The 14,831-nt window shown below is 46.2% G+C and overlaps 1 protein-coding gene across 17 annotated transcripts in view, besides 3 other annotated features; it reads left to right on the top strand.

Moving 5' to 3' along the window:
* TRAPPC9 (trafficking protein particle complex subunit 9) overlaps nucleotides 1-14,831 on the top strand; it is a 730,855-nt gene that overhangs the window by 91,464 nt on the left and 624,560 nt on the right. For 16 of the 17 annotated variants that reach the window (NR_164662.1, XM_011517326.3, NM_031466.8 and 13 more), the window contains one exon: nucleotides 6,923-7,066. The exons of the other annotated variant lie outside the window; for it this stretch is intronic. Coding sequence is in view for 15 of the 16 variants with exons in the window: in XM_011517326.3 (XP_011515628.1) it covers nucleotides 6,923-7,066 (144 nt within the window). In the remaining variant the exon portion in view is untranslated. The remainder of the gene's footprint in view (nucleotides 1-6,922; nucleotides 7,067-14,831) is intronic. 17 annotated transcript variants of the gene reach the window in all.
* Nucleotides 1,118-1,618: an enhancer, noted in NCBI's record as "H3K4me1 hESC enhancer chr8:141375597-141376097 (GRCh37/hg19 assembly coordinates)". NCBI's record gives its function as "activates a minimal SCP1, AML or CMV promoter by ChIP-STARR-seq in naive H9 embryonic stem cells {active_cell/tissue: H9 hESC(naive)}" and the evidence as "EXISTENCE:reporter gene assay evidence [ECO:0000049][PMID:30033119]".
* Nucleotides 1,619-2,119: an enhancer, noted in NCBI's record as "H3K4me1 hESC enhancer chr8:141375096-141375596 (GRCh37/hg19 assembly coordinates)". NCBI's record gives its function as "activates a minimal SCP1, AML or CMV promoter by ChIP-STARR-seq in naive H9 embryonic stem cells {active_cell/tissue: H9 hESC(naive)}" and the evidence as "EXISTENCE:reporter gene assay evidence [ECO:0000049][PMID:30033119]".
* Nucleotides 8,275-8,334: a silencer, noted in NCBI's record as "silent region_19574". NCBI's record gives its function as "represses an Ori minimal core promoter by ATAC-STARR-seq in GM12878 lymphoblastoid cells {active_cell/tissue: GM12878}" and the evidence as "EXISTENCE:reporter gene assay evidence [ECO:0000049][PMID:35858748]".

The following is a 14,831-nucleotide window of genomic DNA, read 5'->3' as shown; positions in this document are numbered from 1 at the left end:
CAATGAATGAGAGTTCCTGCTGCTCCACATCCTTGCCAGCATTTGGGGTTGTCACTGTTAGATTTTGGCCATTCTAATAGGTGTGTAGTGGTATCTCGTTGCTTTACTTTGCAATTTCCTGATGACATATGATGTTGAGCATTTTTCTTATGCTTATTTGCCATCTGGATACCTTCTTTGGTGAAATGTCTGTTCAGATCTTTTGCCCCCTTTTTAATTAGGTTGTTTGTTTCATTGCTGTTGACTTTAAGAGTTTTTTCTATGATTTGGATGACAGTCCTTTATCAGTTGTGTCTTTTGCAAATATTTCTTCCCAGTCTGTGTCTTGTTTTCTCATTCTCTTGATATGTCTTTTGCAGAGCAGAAGTTTTAAATTTTAACGAAGTCTAGCTTATCAATTCTTTCTTTGATGGGTTATACCTTGGGTGTTTTATCTAAAGATATAACATTAGTATACCTAAGGTCACCTAGATTTTCTCTTGTGTTAACTTCTGGGAGGTTTGTATTTTCTCATCCTGCATTTGGGTTTATGATCTGTTTTGAGTTAATTTTTGTGAAGAGTGTGAGGTCTGTGTCTAGAGTTATTTTTTTGCTTGTGGATGTCCAGTTATTTCAGCACCATTTATTGAAAAGACTGTCTCTGCTCCATTGATTGCCTTTGCTGCTTTGTCAAAGACCAGTTGACTATACTTAGGAGATTCTATTTCTGGGCTGTCTCTTTTGCTCCATTAACCTATTTGTTCTTTCACCAGTACCACACTATCTTGAGTACTATAGTTTTATAGTAAGCCTCGAGATTAGGGATATTTTTATTTATTAAAAAATTTTATAATAGAATGATTTATATTTCTTTAAATCATTCTATTATAAAGACACATGGACAGGTGTGTTCATTGCAGGATTATTCACAATGGCAAAGATATGGAATCAACCTCAATGCCCATCAGTGATAGACTGGATAAAGAAAATGTGCTACATATACACTGTGGAATATTATGCAGCCATAAAAAATGAGATCATGTTCTTTACAGGGATATGGATGGAGCTGGAGGTGATTATTCATACCAAACTACTGCAGGAACAGAAAACCAAATACCACATGTTCTCACTTATAAGTGGGAGCTAAATTATGAGAACACATGGCCACATAGAGGGGAATAACATACACTGGGGCCTTTTGGAGGGTGGAGGGTAGAAGGAGGGAGAGGATCAGGAAAAATAACTAATGGGTACTAGGCTTAATACCTGGGTCACAAACTAATCTGTACAATAAACCCCTATGAAACACGTTTACCAGTGTAACCTTCACTTGTAGCCCTGAACTTAAAGTAAAAGTTGAAATAAATTGTCCTTATTAGATGTTACAAAAAATTGATTGTTCACAAAAGGTGATTGTTCCCATTTTCTTCTCTGTTTCTTGGTATTTTAGGTGACATACCTGGAGCAGCTGCTGTGCTGGGCAGGGTCGCCGTGCAGTTGCAGCCTGTGCGGGGTGCTGGGCCCTGCTTGCCAGCCATCTGCAGCTCAGAGCTGGGTGCATTCAGATGAAGGGGCGCTGTTGTCTCCTGTAGGGACCTTCTGGGCATGCCTTGCTAAGCCTGGTGCCTGCAGGCTGTGTTTGCCTACGGGGCATCTCTTTCTAATCCACGCCAAGGCTAGCTGTGGCCTCATGGTAAATGGCTTCACATGCGTAACCTCATTTCTTACAGCCTGGTGAGTGGAGACCACGCGTTCCACGTGCCATGTGAGGGACCAGGGCAGGCAGGGCACAGTGTTACTCCTGAGGTTGCACAGCTGGTGGGAGCACAGGACGCCATTACTGACCAGCTGTGGGATGCTGGCCGTGTCCCTGAGTCCTGTGTGCCCACTTTCTCATCTGTAAGTGGGCCACTAGTTTACACTCGTTTACTGGTAGAGGTTGTAAGGATTGAATTGGTTAGTCCTTGTGAGGTGCTTTGGACAGTGCTCAGCAAATGTTAGTGGCTGTTTGTCAAATGAGATCTTTGGTCAGGTCTAGTATGCTTCCCATAGCATCCCCTGAGGCCAGCGTGAATGGGGTTTGCAAGGCCTGTCCCTCCCTGGCTCCCCCAGAAAGAGTGTGTGTTGCTAGGGCAGGCCCTCCCTGGCCTTTGGTTGCAGATGAGGGCCAGGGAGGGGTCTGCCCTAGTCACACAGTTAATTTTGGACAAAATAACTGGACAAGCCCTAAAACTTGTAGGATTTACATTTTAAAAGGCTAAGAGTGGCCAGGTATGGTGGCTCATGCCTGTAATCCCAGCACTTTGGGAGGTCAAGATGGGTGGATCACTTGAGGTCAGGAGTTCGAGACCAGCCTGGCCAACCCGTCTGTACTAAAAAAATACAAATTAGCCAGGTGTAGTGGCGCATGCCTGTAATCCTAGCTACTCAGGAGGTTGAGGCAGGAGAATCACTTGAACCTGGGAGGTAGAAGGGTTGCAGTGAGCCGAGAATGCACCACTGCACTCGAGCCTGGGTGACAGCGAGACTCCGTCTCGAAAAAAAAAATGCTAAGAGTTACTGGTGGAGGAGGAGAGATTAGACCTCAGAGTCTTAGCACGGGAGAGTTGGGTGTCTAAGCTCATTTAGGCTGGATTCTGGAGAAATTTAATTGGGAAGGAGTAGTGTTTAGGAAGAAGAAAGTTTTTAAAGCAATCACACTATTGCTTTGTAGAGTGATAAGAAAGTGTATTTTAATAGATTTCTATGTGCACTTGTGAATGGAATTCCCATTTGCTGTGCTTTTGAGAGACTTCAGGCAAGATTTAAATTGCTTTTCGGTTCCTTTTTTTTTTTTTTTTTTTTGCATCCTTTGAATATAACTCCAGGCTGGCTTCAGGGTAAAAGCAAGCCTCCTGGGCTCTATGCAAGTTATCTTAGGAGTGGTCTTCATTTTCTTTTTTTCCTGTCCCGGGGCCAGTTATCTGTAACATTTAAGACTGCATCAGTCTGAGGTCTTCTGATGCCTCTTGCCTCCTTCGGGGACACTCTTCCCTGTCCTTCCTGCCTCACTCCCGGTCATCCTCAGGTCACAGCTGGATGCCATTTCTTCGGAGAGGTCCTCAGTGGTCCTTTCAGCCTTAAGTGGAACTGTTTTATTTTTCTCTTTCATCGAATGCCGTTTTCTCTTTTCCTTGAATTCTGTTGTTCTTCCTTATAACACTTCCCATGATTTGTAAATACATTTGAAAAATGTTTGGGGCCGGGTGCAGTGGCTGACGCCTGTAATCCCAGCACTTTGGGAGGCTGAGGCAGGTGGGTCACCTGAGGTCAGGAGTTCGAGACCAGCCTGGCCAATATGGTGAAACCCCGTCTCTACTAAAAATTCAAAAATTAGCCAGGCATGGTGGTACGTGCCTGTAATCCCAGCTACTCGGGAGGCTGAGGCAGGAGAATTGCTTGAACCTGGGAGGCATAAGTTGCAGTGAACCAAGATCGTGGCATTGCACTCCAGCCTGGGCAACAAGAGTGAAACTCCGTTTCAAAAAAAAAAAAAGACGTTTGTGTCAGGAGGAGACATTTTCCATTATTTTGTGAAAGAGGCTAGAGAAAGAAGGTGACTGGCTGAGATTAAAAATGATAAATGTCAGCTGGCTGTATGTTTAACAAAACACAAAAGTCACTTTAAACCCCATCTCCACTGTGGCTCTGGACTGCTTTAAACATCTCCCAGAGAATTTAATGGAAGTCTACTAACACCCTGTACCTGTAAATAAAAGGCAAATTGTCTGTATTCTCAGGTCCCAAAATGTATTCTTTTTCTTGAAATGAACATTTGCACTAGCTGGTTATAGACGGTCGAGGAAGGAACACTGATGTGTGCTGTGTGTACTTGCCGGCTTAAGGGGCCGCTTAGTATCATTTAAATCTTATTTGTGTTGCTGTATATGAAGATTTTTGATCATGCCTTTTCCTGGACGAGGGATTAAATTTTGCCCAGGAACTCTTATGAAAGAAAGAGACTGCTAAGGCAGATGGATTTGCTAAAAGGCAATAGTTCATATACAAAATAAACCTCCAAATTGGTGAAATTTTTGATTACAAGAGTATTGAAAATTTTATCACTGGGTCATATGCTGCAAATCTGCCTTCAGAAAAATAATTCACATTTTATAGGGAGAGCACTTTGAGCCACATAGAAATTATGACTTGTACACTATTTACTGTTAAGAAAATGTATACTCGGTCTTACTCATAATCGCCCGTGGTAGGAACTGGATCATTATCTATTTTTAAAAGAATCAGCAAAGTGATATTTGCCCAATTCTTATGTGAGAAAACCTTCTGGATATGGTAGTGTTGAGATTAGTTAAATTGGGTCTTTCTGAATTCATGGCTAGGTTAGTCATGACATTGATTTCAGCTTCATAATCTTTAAAAAAATCTCTTCTTCATTTTGGCATTTGGTCTTGGCTTCTTTTGACAATGTGGAATATTGCAGGGACTCGTCTTTCTCTCCTTTCCTGCAGTTGTATGAGAAGTACTACCATTTTATATTCCAAAAGATGTCGGGAAGATAAACTACTAAGATATAAAGTAGTGTTTTTTTTATTTTTATTTTTATTTTTTTTTAAGTGTGTGTATGGTCAGCTCCAAGGATTTCAATGAGAAGTTATGGAGAAATACTTTAAATATATACAAATTAGAGAGGATAGAATAGAATATTGTGTCCATTGCCCAGATTAAATCATTATCAAAATTTGACCACATTGGCTTTATTTTTACTTTATTGGTTTTTTTGTTGAAGTATTTAAAGCAGATCCTAGAAACCACATCACTGTACTCCTTCATAGCTGTATGCACGTCCGCAACATGGGAGGGTTTCCTTTCACCAGCCTTACGTCTTGATCCACGTGTGTGTTAAGTACCAACTTTGTTATCAGGCACCCTGCCAGGCATTAAGGACACTTGAATGGATAAGACATAAACCTGCCTCCCAAGGAAATTAAGGATTGATGAGAGAAACAAAGACATGAGATTACAGGTGCCTTATGGTACCTGCCAGATAACTCCTGTGGGCTGAAATTTGTGCAAAATACAGCGGAAATACAGAAGAGGGACTGGTCAGCTGTGCAGGGCAGAGTGCTGAGGGAAGAGCTCAGGAAGGGCTGTGAGCGGTGGAACCCTTGGAGCAACGTCTTCAAATATCAATGGGCAAACAGAGAAAGGTTAGGATAGAAGGAAGGGCCCCTGCTATTTGCGTTAGGGAGGAGGCATCCCTTCTTGTTCTGTTTGCTCGCCAGTCAGCCTCAGCCGAGCGCCCAGTCTCACGTCAGGCCCTGTCCTGGGGATGCAATAGTAAGTAACGCACAGTCTTCAGGTACAGGAAGTCATACCTGAATGGGGGATTTTGACACACAAGCAGGTAATTTTACTTAATAAATAATCTCAATAGGGATTTAAAAAAATGGAGGACTCATTCTTAGTGAAACAGTGGAACAGGTTGGATCATTAATCATGTCACAGCTAGAGTCAAAGGTTGACCTGTGTGTTAACCACATTATATTCATTGAATAATAATATTAATAGCAACTAGCATTTATTGAGAACTTATGATAAATAAACTGCTGAAGTGCTTTAAATGGGTTATTGCACTGAAGCCTTATAACTTTAACTTGTACTCCGACTACTGTCTCCGTTTTACAGTTTGGCGTGGCCCCCTTCTCATCGAGGGTTCACCCCAGATGTCACCTCCTTGCCCACCTGCCCTGGCTGACGCAGCATCTCTCAGCCCCATCAGCCCTCACTATTACTGTTTGTGTTCGTCCCAGCATCCACCAGCATGCTGTTTCCCAGGGCTGAGGCCTGACTCTTCCCACAAGAGTGTCAATGGCACGAGAACCTGCCCTGCACAGTATTGTGTTCTCAGTAAATACTTGTTAACCAACCGACTGTCGTGAGCTATTACGGACTTTCAGTGCGTGGCAGTTTTGTCAGAGTTTGAATGTGCATTTATGCGTTTTTTCATGGTCTAAGTTTTGGATCAGCTGGAGCAGTGATTAGCCAGTCTGTGTGGTTGGTTATCAGAGCCATTGGCAGGGTGTGTGTGTTAACACAGATTGGCTGGGAGCAGTGGCTCATACCTGTAATCCCAGCACTTTGGGAGGCCAAGGTAGGAGGATGGTTCTAGGTCAGGAGTTCAAGACCAGCCTGGGCAACATGGGGAGACCCTGTCTCTACTGGAAAAAAAAAAGTAGTTGGGCATGGCGGTGTGTAACTGTAGTCCCAGCTACGCAGGAGGCTGAAATGGGAGGATTGATTGCTTGAGCCCTGGAGGTCCAGACTGCAGTAAGCTGTGATTGCACCACCACACTCCAGCCTGGATGACAGAGAAAGACCTCATCTCTTAAAAAAAGAGATACTTTTCAACTGTCTGTGCATCCAGATTTCTCCGTCTTTAATTCAAAGATGCTAAACTGTTTTGGAGTGAGCAGCTGTAGAATTTAACTTTTTTTTTTTCTAATTTAGCTATCTACTTTTCTTCATTTTTCTTATATTTTAGAGAAATATTATATTTTTGATTTAATGTTGTTGGTTGTTGATAATGAAGGCCCTTCAAATATGAGTATTTTCTTGGAAAAAAAGTATGTCTCTAGCTCAGATATATGAAATCCATCTTTTGTTCTAAGCTTATTATTTCGAAGCAGGCTATTTTTGAAATCAAATCATGTCTTTGCAGAGAGAGAAGCTATAGTGTAATGCCTGTTTTTGCTGTATGAAAACCATGCCAACTTTAAAGTACTTTTCCAGGGTCATTAAAAGCAGAGGAAATATTTTTTGTTGCTCTTGGAGTTTGGTGGTTGAGGCATCTGTCTTCAAATTGCCAAGTTTTACAACTTAGATTAACCGTATTTCCTGTACCCTCTCCAAGCACTTTTGTGATGTTTTGTAACTTCCATCGCAGGCACGCACAGAGGCTGGGCTGCGGTCCAGATGCGTTTGCTCCATGAATTGGTCTACGCCTCCCGAAGGATGGGGAACCCTGCCCTCTCTGTCAGACACCTGTCCTTCCTTCTACAGACCATGCTGGACTTCTTGTCGGATCAGGGTGAGTGAGCTCAAACCACAATGTTTTTTTTCAAGGAACTGTGAATGAGAGCACTTTAGATGCTGGTTCATGTAAACCCTGGGCTTGGGTTTCAGTGGGTGGAAGATGCTGCCCAGCTCTTCGTCAGTGACAAGGTCCCTGCCCCATGCCTTGGCTCCCTCCTTCCACACTCACTTCTCTGGGACACCTGTGCCACCTCCTCCCGCCTTCACGCCATCTCCTCCTGCTCCTCGGCCGCCACACTCCATGGCTTTTCCCTCCACCTCTCAGGCTTCTTTTCAGCCTCCTGTGTTGCCTCCCATTTCCTTAGCCTGCCTTTTTAAAAATATAAATGTCAAAGCATAACATTTACATAGAGGAGTGCACGACTCATAGGAATGTGGCTCAGTAAATTCTCACCAAGTGGCCACCGCTATAATCAACACCCAGATCAGAGACGGGCAGGAACAGAACCCAGGGCCCCTCGTGCCCCTTCGAGTCACTGGGTAACTCCATCCCCCCTTCCAGAACCAAAGATGAGGTTTGCATGTGTTGGCTCTCATGGGGCCACGCGGTGTTTCTGCCCCTGTTTCAAGGTTGCCTTTCTCCCGGGCTCCTTTCTTGGCCTTCATCTTCTCTTCTTACACTGCTCCTGGGTGCTATCTGCTTTTTGAGTTTTAGTCATGACCTGTTTCCCTACGCGCTTGGGGCTCAGCTGCCCCAAACCTGCCTTCCTCCTTGTACCCCTGGCCCTGGCCCAGTGTGTGGTGCCAGCTGGGTTCTTGGGGAAGTGCTGTCTGCTGGGGAGACTGATGTGTGCAGAGTGTATTGGGACGTACTCATGGGATCAGCCCCGTAGAAGGGAAGAGATGGAGGCGAGACTGGACAGTGGGAGAAGCTGGGCCTCAGTGCTATATGGACACAGGCCTCAGCTGCACGGGGAGCCCTGCACTGCCGTGGCCTGCAGACGTGTCCCATGTTGTTCTGAGGGGGCCGGGCCATTCTCCTCCCTCACTGACCAGCAGTTGAATGCAGTCTACCCTGGGTGATGTGGTTCTCTTCAGCAAGGAGACAAGGCTTCTGCTGACCCAGCAGGGCCTGTGCAGCTGGGAAGCCGTCGGAGAGATCTCTGGCGATGGGAGGGCCGGGGCTTCCTGTCCCCGTGCCAGGCCCTGGGTGCTCACTGCTCCCAGGAAAGGGTAGGGTCTTGATGAAGGGCTCTTGCCCGTCAAGGACAACTTCTGGGGAGGCAGCACTCTCCCCTGGGGAACGGGCCTCTCCTCCCTGCAGGCCGTCTGGGCGACTCATTACTGCCCCCTGCAGTGCTGTGCCGTCACTGCTGCTGTCCAGGTGGCGACCCCACTCCCTCAGTCTCATGTCCTGGCACCTCCCAAATTTCGTGCTTCTCTGTTTTCACATTTCTAAAAGCAGCACATCTTTCTCTCCAGCCCTCCACCCACTGCTTTCCCCTGGCTGTTCTCTGTCTTTGAGCAGGCTCTGGCTCCAGGGTAACGTGGGGTGTGCATCTCTGAGGGTGGTTGTGAGGTTTAAATGCACTAATTCTGGCCGGATGTGGTAGCTCATTCCTGTAATCCGATCTCTTTGGGAGGCCCAGGTGGGCGGATCACCTGAGGTCAGGAGATCGAGACCAGCCTGGCCAACATGGTGAAACCCCGTGTCTACTAAAAATACAAAAAATTAGCCAGGCATGGTGGCAGGCCCCTGTAATCCCAGCTACTAAGGAGGCTGAGGCAGGAGAATAACTTGAACCCAGGAGTGGCGCTTGCAGAGAGCCAATGTTGCGCCATTGCACTCCAGCCTGGGCGATAAGAGTGAAATTCTGTCTCAAAAAAAGAAAGAAAGAAACCTAGTATACATTAAGCAGTCCTCATAAAGCCCATCTTCTCACTGCACCTGTTGAAACACTAGCATTCTTTAAAGGAAACATTGATTTCCCTACAGTGATTTCCACGGCCATCTCTAAGAGAAAGGAATTCTCCTTTCGTGAACCCCTGTGGTTCTTTGTTGCCAAGGTTCTGAAGGCACACACCACTTATTGTGGCCGTTGGCATCCTCGTGTGGAGTAGCTGTTGTTTTCTGTTGAGGACTTCTGGTGACCCAAGTGAATCTCTGCTCTGACCGGGGCCCCTGCGACAGCCGTGCAGCTCCTTTTCTGCGTGTATTGGGTCGCTGTTGCTTTTGGGGCTGCATTTGAACTGTGCTTTTCTTGATTGTACCTGCAGAGTGAGCAGGTGGCCAGCAGGGCCACCGTGGAAGCTGGCTCCATGGCCCATTTGCACTCCGGCGTTTCGGTGACGGGAGGGAGCAGCAGGCCGAGGCAGAGCTCCCAGAGCCACCCGTGTCTCCTGCTGGGGTGACTGTGGCTCAGTGGCGGCTTGGGCAGTGGTCTGGTGTTACCTGCTCGAGTGAATGTTTGCTCTCCCCAGCCCCTGGGAGTGCTGCCCACCTCCCCTACTCCCCTGGAATTTCTTGAGCCTCCCCGTGATCCAGCAAATCTAAAGAGGTAGTGCCTGGACTCTGTGTAGGGGCTTAGAATCTCGGGTGCCATCCCTGACCCATGGCATGTCCCTCTGCCCCTGTAGCCAGGACTCTGTTCTCTCCTGGTGGCAGTGTCCCCACATACCTCACCTCAGTAAGCACAGTCCCCACGGTTGGTGAGTTGTGGTGACACGGCCCTGAGCCCTTCGCCTGAGCCGTCAGTGTCACTCCTTCGCCTGCTGTGTCTGCTGCATCTTGAACTTCTTCAGCACACACCTTCCTTCCCACAGCAGGGCCGGTGCACCTCCCCTGTCCCCACACCCTGCCCCTTCACCATGTGACTCCTCTTGGGCCTGGCCTCCTCTTGAAAGCCTTCACAAGTCCCTAGCTAGACCAGGGACTCTGGGCCTCTGCTCTCTTTCTTCCTGCACTTGTCGGTCATCAGTTACGTATTTAGTTGGTCCATGCTTGTCTCCCTCCATGGGAGAAAACCTCATTCTGCCTGCTGTCTACCTGGAGCTGGACCTGGCAAAGGCTAGATGCCAAGTGCATGGCTGCTGAGGTGTGAGTGATGTTGTCACAGCCCTTGCCTTCATCGTGATTGCTTATGGGGAAGTTGATTCTGACTTGGGTCCTCAGACATTTTTCAAAAGCACATTCTTGGCCGGGCATGGTGGCTCACTCCTGTAATCCCAGCACTTTGGGAGGGTGAGACGGGCGGATCACCTGAGGTCAGGAGTTCGACACTAGCCTGGACAACATAGTGAAACCCCATCTCTACTAAAAATACAAAGATTAACCGGGCGAGGTGGTGCACGCCTGTAATCCCAGCTACTTGGGAGGCTGAGGCAGGAGAATCGCTTGAACCCGGGAGGTGGAGGTTGCAGTGAGCCGAGATCATGCCACTGCACCCCAGCCTGGGTGAGACTCCAGCTCAAAAAAAAAAAAAAAGCACATTCTTTTTACAAGGAACACATGTGTGTTTGTACACTGTATGTGTGTGTATACGTATGCTGCATCGTGTTTTTCTGTTGGAGTTTGTATTTCTCAAGGGCATGGGCCATATCTTCCCCTTTGGGTACCCTGCGGTTTCCATGGGACATGGTGAGATGACTGAGCGTGTATGCAGGATCAATAATTGGAGTGACCCATTCCACTCTTCTGTGTCAGGCTGATGAGCCGACTGTCTCCACTCCAGACATGTGAGGCCTTGTCTTATTTTGATGACGGCACTGAGAAGTAGATTGTGTTTCCCAGCCCCACGTGCTCGGAGGTTGATGTTTACACGTGTGTCCATGAAATGGCCGCCGGGAAGAACAGAGAGTGGACGAGCACATAGGGCTCTCTGTTAATTGCTCTGTTGCTGTGTTTCTTTTTTTATTAATAGCATTCATGTATTGTTGATGAGCATCCCCGTGCCTGGGAGTGGTGGTGGGTGTGTGCCTGCCTATCTCCCCTGCCCTTCCTGTCCAGAACTCAGTGTCAGCGTTTTTCTCCAGGTGGCAAAGAAAACCTCTACAGGAAAATACAGCGAGGGTTCTCATTGATGCTTTAACCTCTGCCTTCCCCACCGTTTTTTCTTATCCTGTTTATATTTTTAAGCTTTGTTCACTTCTAAGCCTATTGTGATAGTTGTACCTTTTCCTCATGTGATCTTTCAAAAAGGGTGATCTGTATGCTATATTTTTGAGTAATTAGACATTTTATAACAGGTCACATTGGAGGCTCTTTTAATATATGTGTGTAAAATATGTAAATGTGAACTCTTATTGAAACGACATGTTTAACCACAGCCTGTGGTCTTCACCAGCCCTAAGTGAGGACGGAGGCTTCAAGTTGGATGTGGCTCGCCCATTAGACTGCTTGTCTCCCTCACATGGTCACGACTGGCCATTGCTTTTATGGCCAGAGCCCTTAGTTAATTCCCCCCCAGTGCTGTGATCTCTCTTCGGTGTATCTTCTCCATGCTGGAATCCTGAGGATAGTTTCTTTTTTTTTCTTTTTCTCTTTTTAAGGTCTACCAGAAATACTGGAGGAGAATATATGTTTAAAATCTGAGTTTGAATTAGTCATGGTAGGAAGTTTTGATCCATGGTATTTGTAGAGTGAGTTAGGAGAGATTCATCATCTCGGTTTGGATGACTGACAAAGCTGCAACCAGACTCAGCTAGATTTCAGATCAGGCGGTTGATGGGAAAAGAGAGGAGGAGCTGTGATCATGATGTACTTCTAAGGTCTGCTTTCTTTTGGTGGATTGTTAGTTCCCAGTGAGAAAACAGAGAACGAAATCACTATGCTTCCATATGGGCTGTGTTTCCATTAGATATAAATTGCGTTTGATTTTTGATGAAAAGGCAGCATAACCCTCTAGAGGTGTCAGGTGCCCCTTGTCCTGGGAAGGGGACGCACACTGTGATTGATGGGGTCCAAGCTGTATGTTTTTAGGTGACAGGAAAATTTGTTTATCCATGAAATGCTGATAGTGTCTTATGGTTATTTAAAGTCATATTAATTAGTGATTTAAAGACACTTAGTTTAAAAGGAGAAGAACTTGGGACACTTGATACTGTTGAACAAATAACAGTCTCTTGAAAGACCTTTATATAATGATATTTGGTTAATTGGAGTCGTCTGAGAAAAGGACAAAAGTCAGGAGGTCTGAGAGGTTCTTTCCACTCATCTCAGCCTCTAATTACTGTAACCTCCGATCAATAATTACATTCTCCCCAGCCTCCATTTTCTCATTTGGACAGCTGGGTTGTGCAGGGCTAGGTGGCGGTTTGTTATTTTTAATGATGGATACTATAATTTATTGGATGGTCTTTTTTGCTGAAGAGCTCATGGTGCTATTCACAGACTTGATAACTAACATTTCTAAATTTTGCTGCATTGAAATAAAGTATGGAATAGAAGAGCAGCCAGGAATGGAAAAACGTGACCCCAGGGTTGAAGAGGGTCTTTCTAGCTTTCTTGTCCTTTGTGAAGCTGGACTGGTGATGTGCAGTTGAAGACAGCATCATCGGGGGCCTTCTGCTCCATGTGTACCCTCCAGTATTTGCAAAAGATTGAACCTACAAGATACGTTATTAGGGCAAGTATTTACATGGAAAGGCTCTGAGTTCTCCAAGACTTTGGTCATTTTTTACAAGATGATGTACTACCCTGATGATTTGTGGAATCTTCTTAGGAACCGTGACTGTGTTGCTTTTCTGATCATGGGTACAGGGCCATCTTTGTTGAGGCTTCCCATGTGTGTGGGCACAGAGCTTCTGTGGCATTCCAGCAGTAGATTAATGGAGCTGTCATCCTCTGAAGCCTCATGGGTTGTGCATGCAAACCTGGTCCTGTGAACTGCATGGGAGTCTCTTAAAAGGGCAGAGGGATTCCTTCCTTTGTGAAAGGTTTAGAATGGCACATATTTGTAATTTCCAGACTCATCTTTTCCCACTCTCACATTCACTCTGTATTTGGCCGTACTAAATTGTTGACAGTTCTCCAAATACAACAGCATTGCTATTCTGCTGCCTTCGTACATGCCGTTTCCATTACTGTCACATTGTCCAGGAATTCATCCCTGCCATGACTGCAGTGCCCCCTCTGGGAGCTCCCCGTGCCCTGTGCCTGCCGCTGTCAGAGCTTCCAGCATGCTGGGCTGTGGAGGTGTTGGTCTGTTTGCCCACCCAGCAAGCCTCTAAGCTCCTCAAAGACACCAACTGTCACGCATATCTGGAGCAGCACCTGGTACCTTACGGGTCCTTAAATGCCGGCTGAATGAATGATGTCTTCTGTCTCTTTAAACCCACCTTCTACTATGCTACCAAATGGATATTTCTTCTAACTGGCAATTTTAAAGATCCTGCTGTGGCCTTTGGTCAGGCTTTTGAGCAGGGTTTGGCAAACCGTGGCCTATGGACCAGGTCTGGCCCGCGGCCTGATGGTCATCCTTGCGCTGGCCGTTTCAGGATGAATTTACAGTTACTGACACCAATTCCTGTGGAAAATAAAAAAGACTCGCGGCTTTCACATCACGTAGCTTAAAAAGGGAACACGGGGAAAAACTAGTTAGGTAAACTGTTTCAGGGACTGGGATCAAAAGCCCCAGGTGAGCGAGTAAGGTTCAACCATATGTAGGCTCTGCTACTGTGAGTGAAGTGCGGTTATCAATACTTACGAAAAGAAGGGGAAAAAATGCATACTATAAATAGGTCATATTAATGCTACTGTGAAAAGACTGAGGAGTGACGAAAGGGGGGGGTCCCATGAGATGGGAGGGGGCCAGTGAATGAACCTGTGTTAAGGATGTGCCTTATTTCACAGCATTTCTGCTGTTGGAATGACTTTACCAGGTTAGGATGGCAGGGAGTGTGATGTTCTCACGCTAGAGTATAGATGGTTTGCGTTGCACATGATTTCCTGGGCTTGGTCTTGTTGGGATCTGAAGTCTTTTGGTTTACCTCTTCTACTGTGGTCCAGTGTCTTTCTGGAGGCCTCTGGGTAGATGGTGTTTTCTCGAAAACCCTATCTGTGTCTTGGTTTTTGCGTCTACCTTGTGGGATTGTTTTAAGGATTGGAGATGACACACCTGAAGTGCCTAACAATGTCTGCTGCCAAGAAGTGCTTAGTAAATATCATAAGATGGCACTGTTTTCCTTCTGGGGGACCTGGACGCCAGCTCCTTGGTCAGACATTAGTGGTTCTTTTGCTCAAGGTTACCTTAAGAAGACTCGGAGAGAGAAATAGGGAACAGCAGAATCACCCCAAAGGGCTGTCAGATGTGGATGTGATTCTTTTCCAAGATGTGCTGCTGTTATAATTTGTCTTATAATATTGTAATTAACTCTAGCAGTGCTCTGACTGGCCTGGGGAAGGGGTGAGTGGGAGGTGGAAACAGAGGAAGAGGAGCAAGGGAAAGGAAAGGATGGTGCCACCCAGAGGTGTTCTTCAGGCAGGGAGCGGCGGCCAGTGTAACCGGGGATTCAGTGCATGCTGTTTCCCCCGCGTTTAATGTTCAGCCCAGTCCTAAGGTGTTGGGAAGGTGGCCTCTCCACCTCGCCCTTGAAAGTGTGGATCAAGATTAGGCTGCCAGTTCCTCGTTCAGCGGAAGTAGCACAGAATCCCAGGTCTCATGGTATCCAACACGAATCTGACTTGCTGGTAGACCTTGAGGTTGTTTAAGCATCTTAAACTTCCGAAACAACTGTCGCTATGCAGTGCCTCTCTCCCCATAGCTGCTGTCATGCTTTACCTACAAGAAACCAAAAGTCTTACTAAAATAAAAGAAGTTTTT

Source organism: Homo sapiens, chromosome 8 (assembly GCF_000001405.40).
Source record: "Homo sapiens chromosome 8, GRCh38.p14 Primary Assembly".
NCBI classification, from domain to species: Eukaryota; Metazoa; Chordata; class Mammalia; order Primates; family Hominidae; genus Homo; species Homo sapiens.
This window is presented reverse-complemented; position numbering and strand designations above follow the sequence as displayed.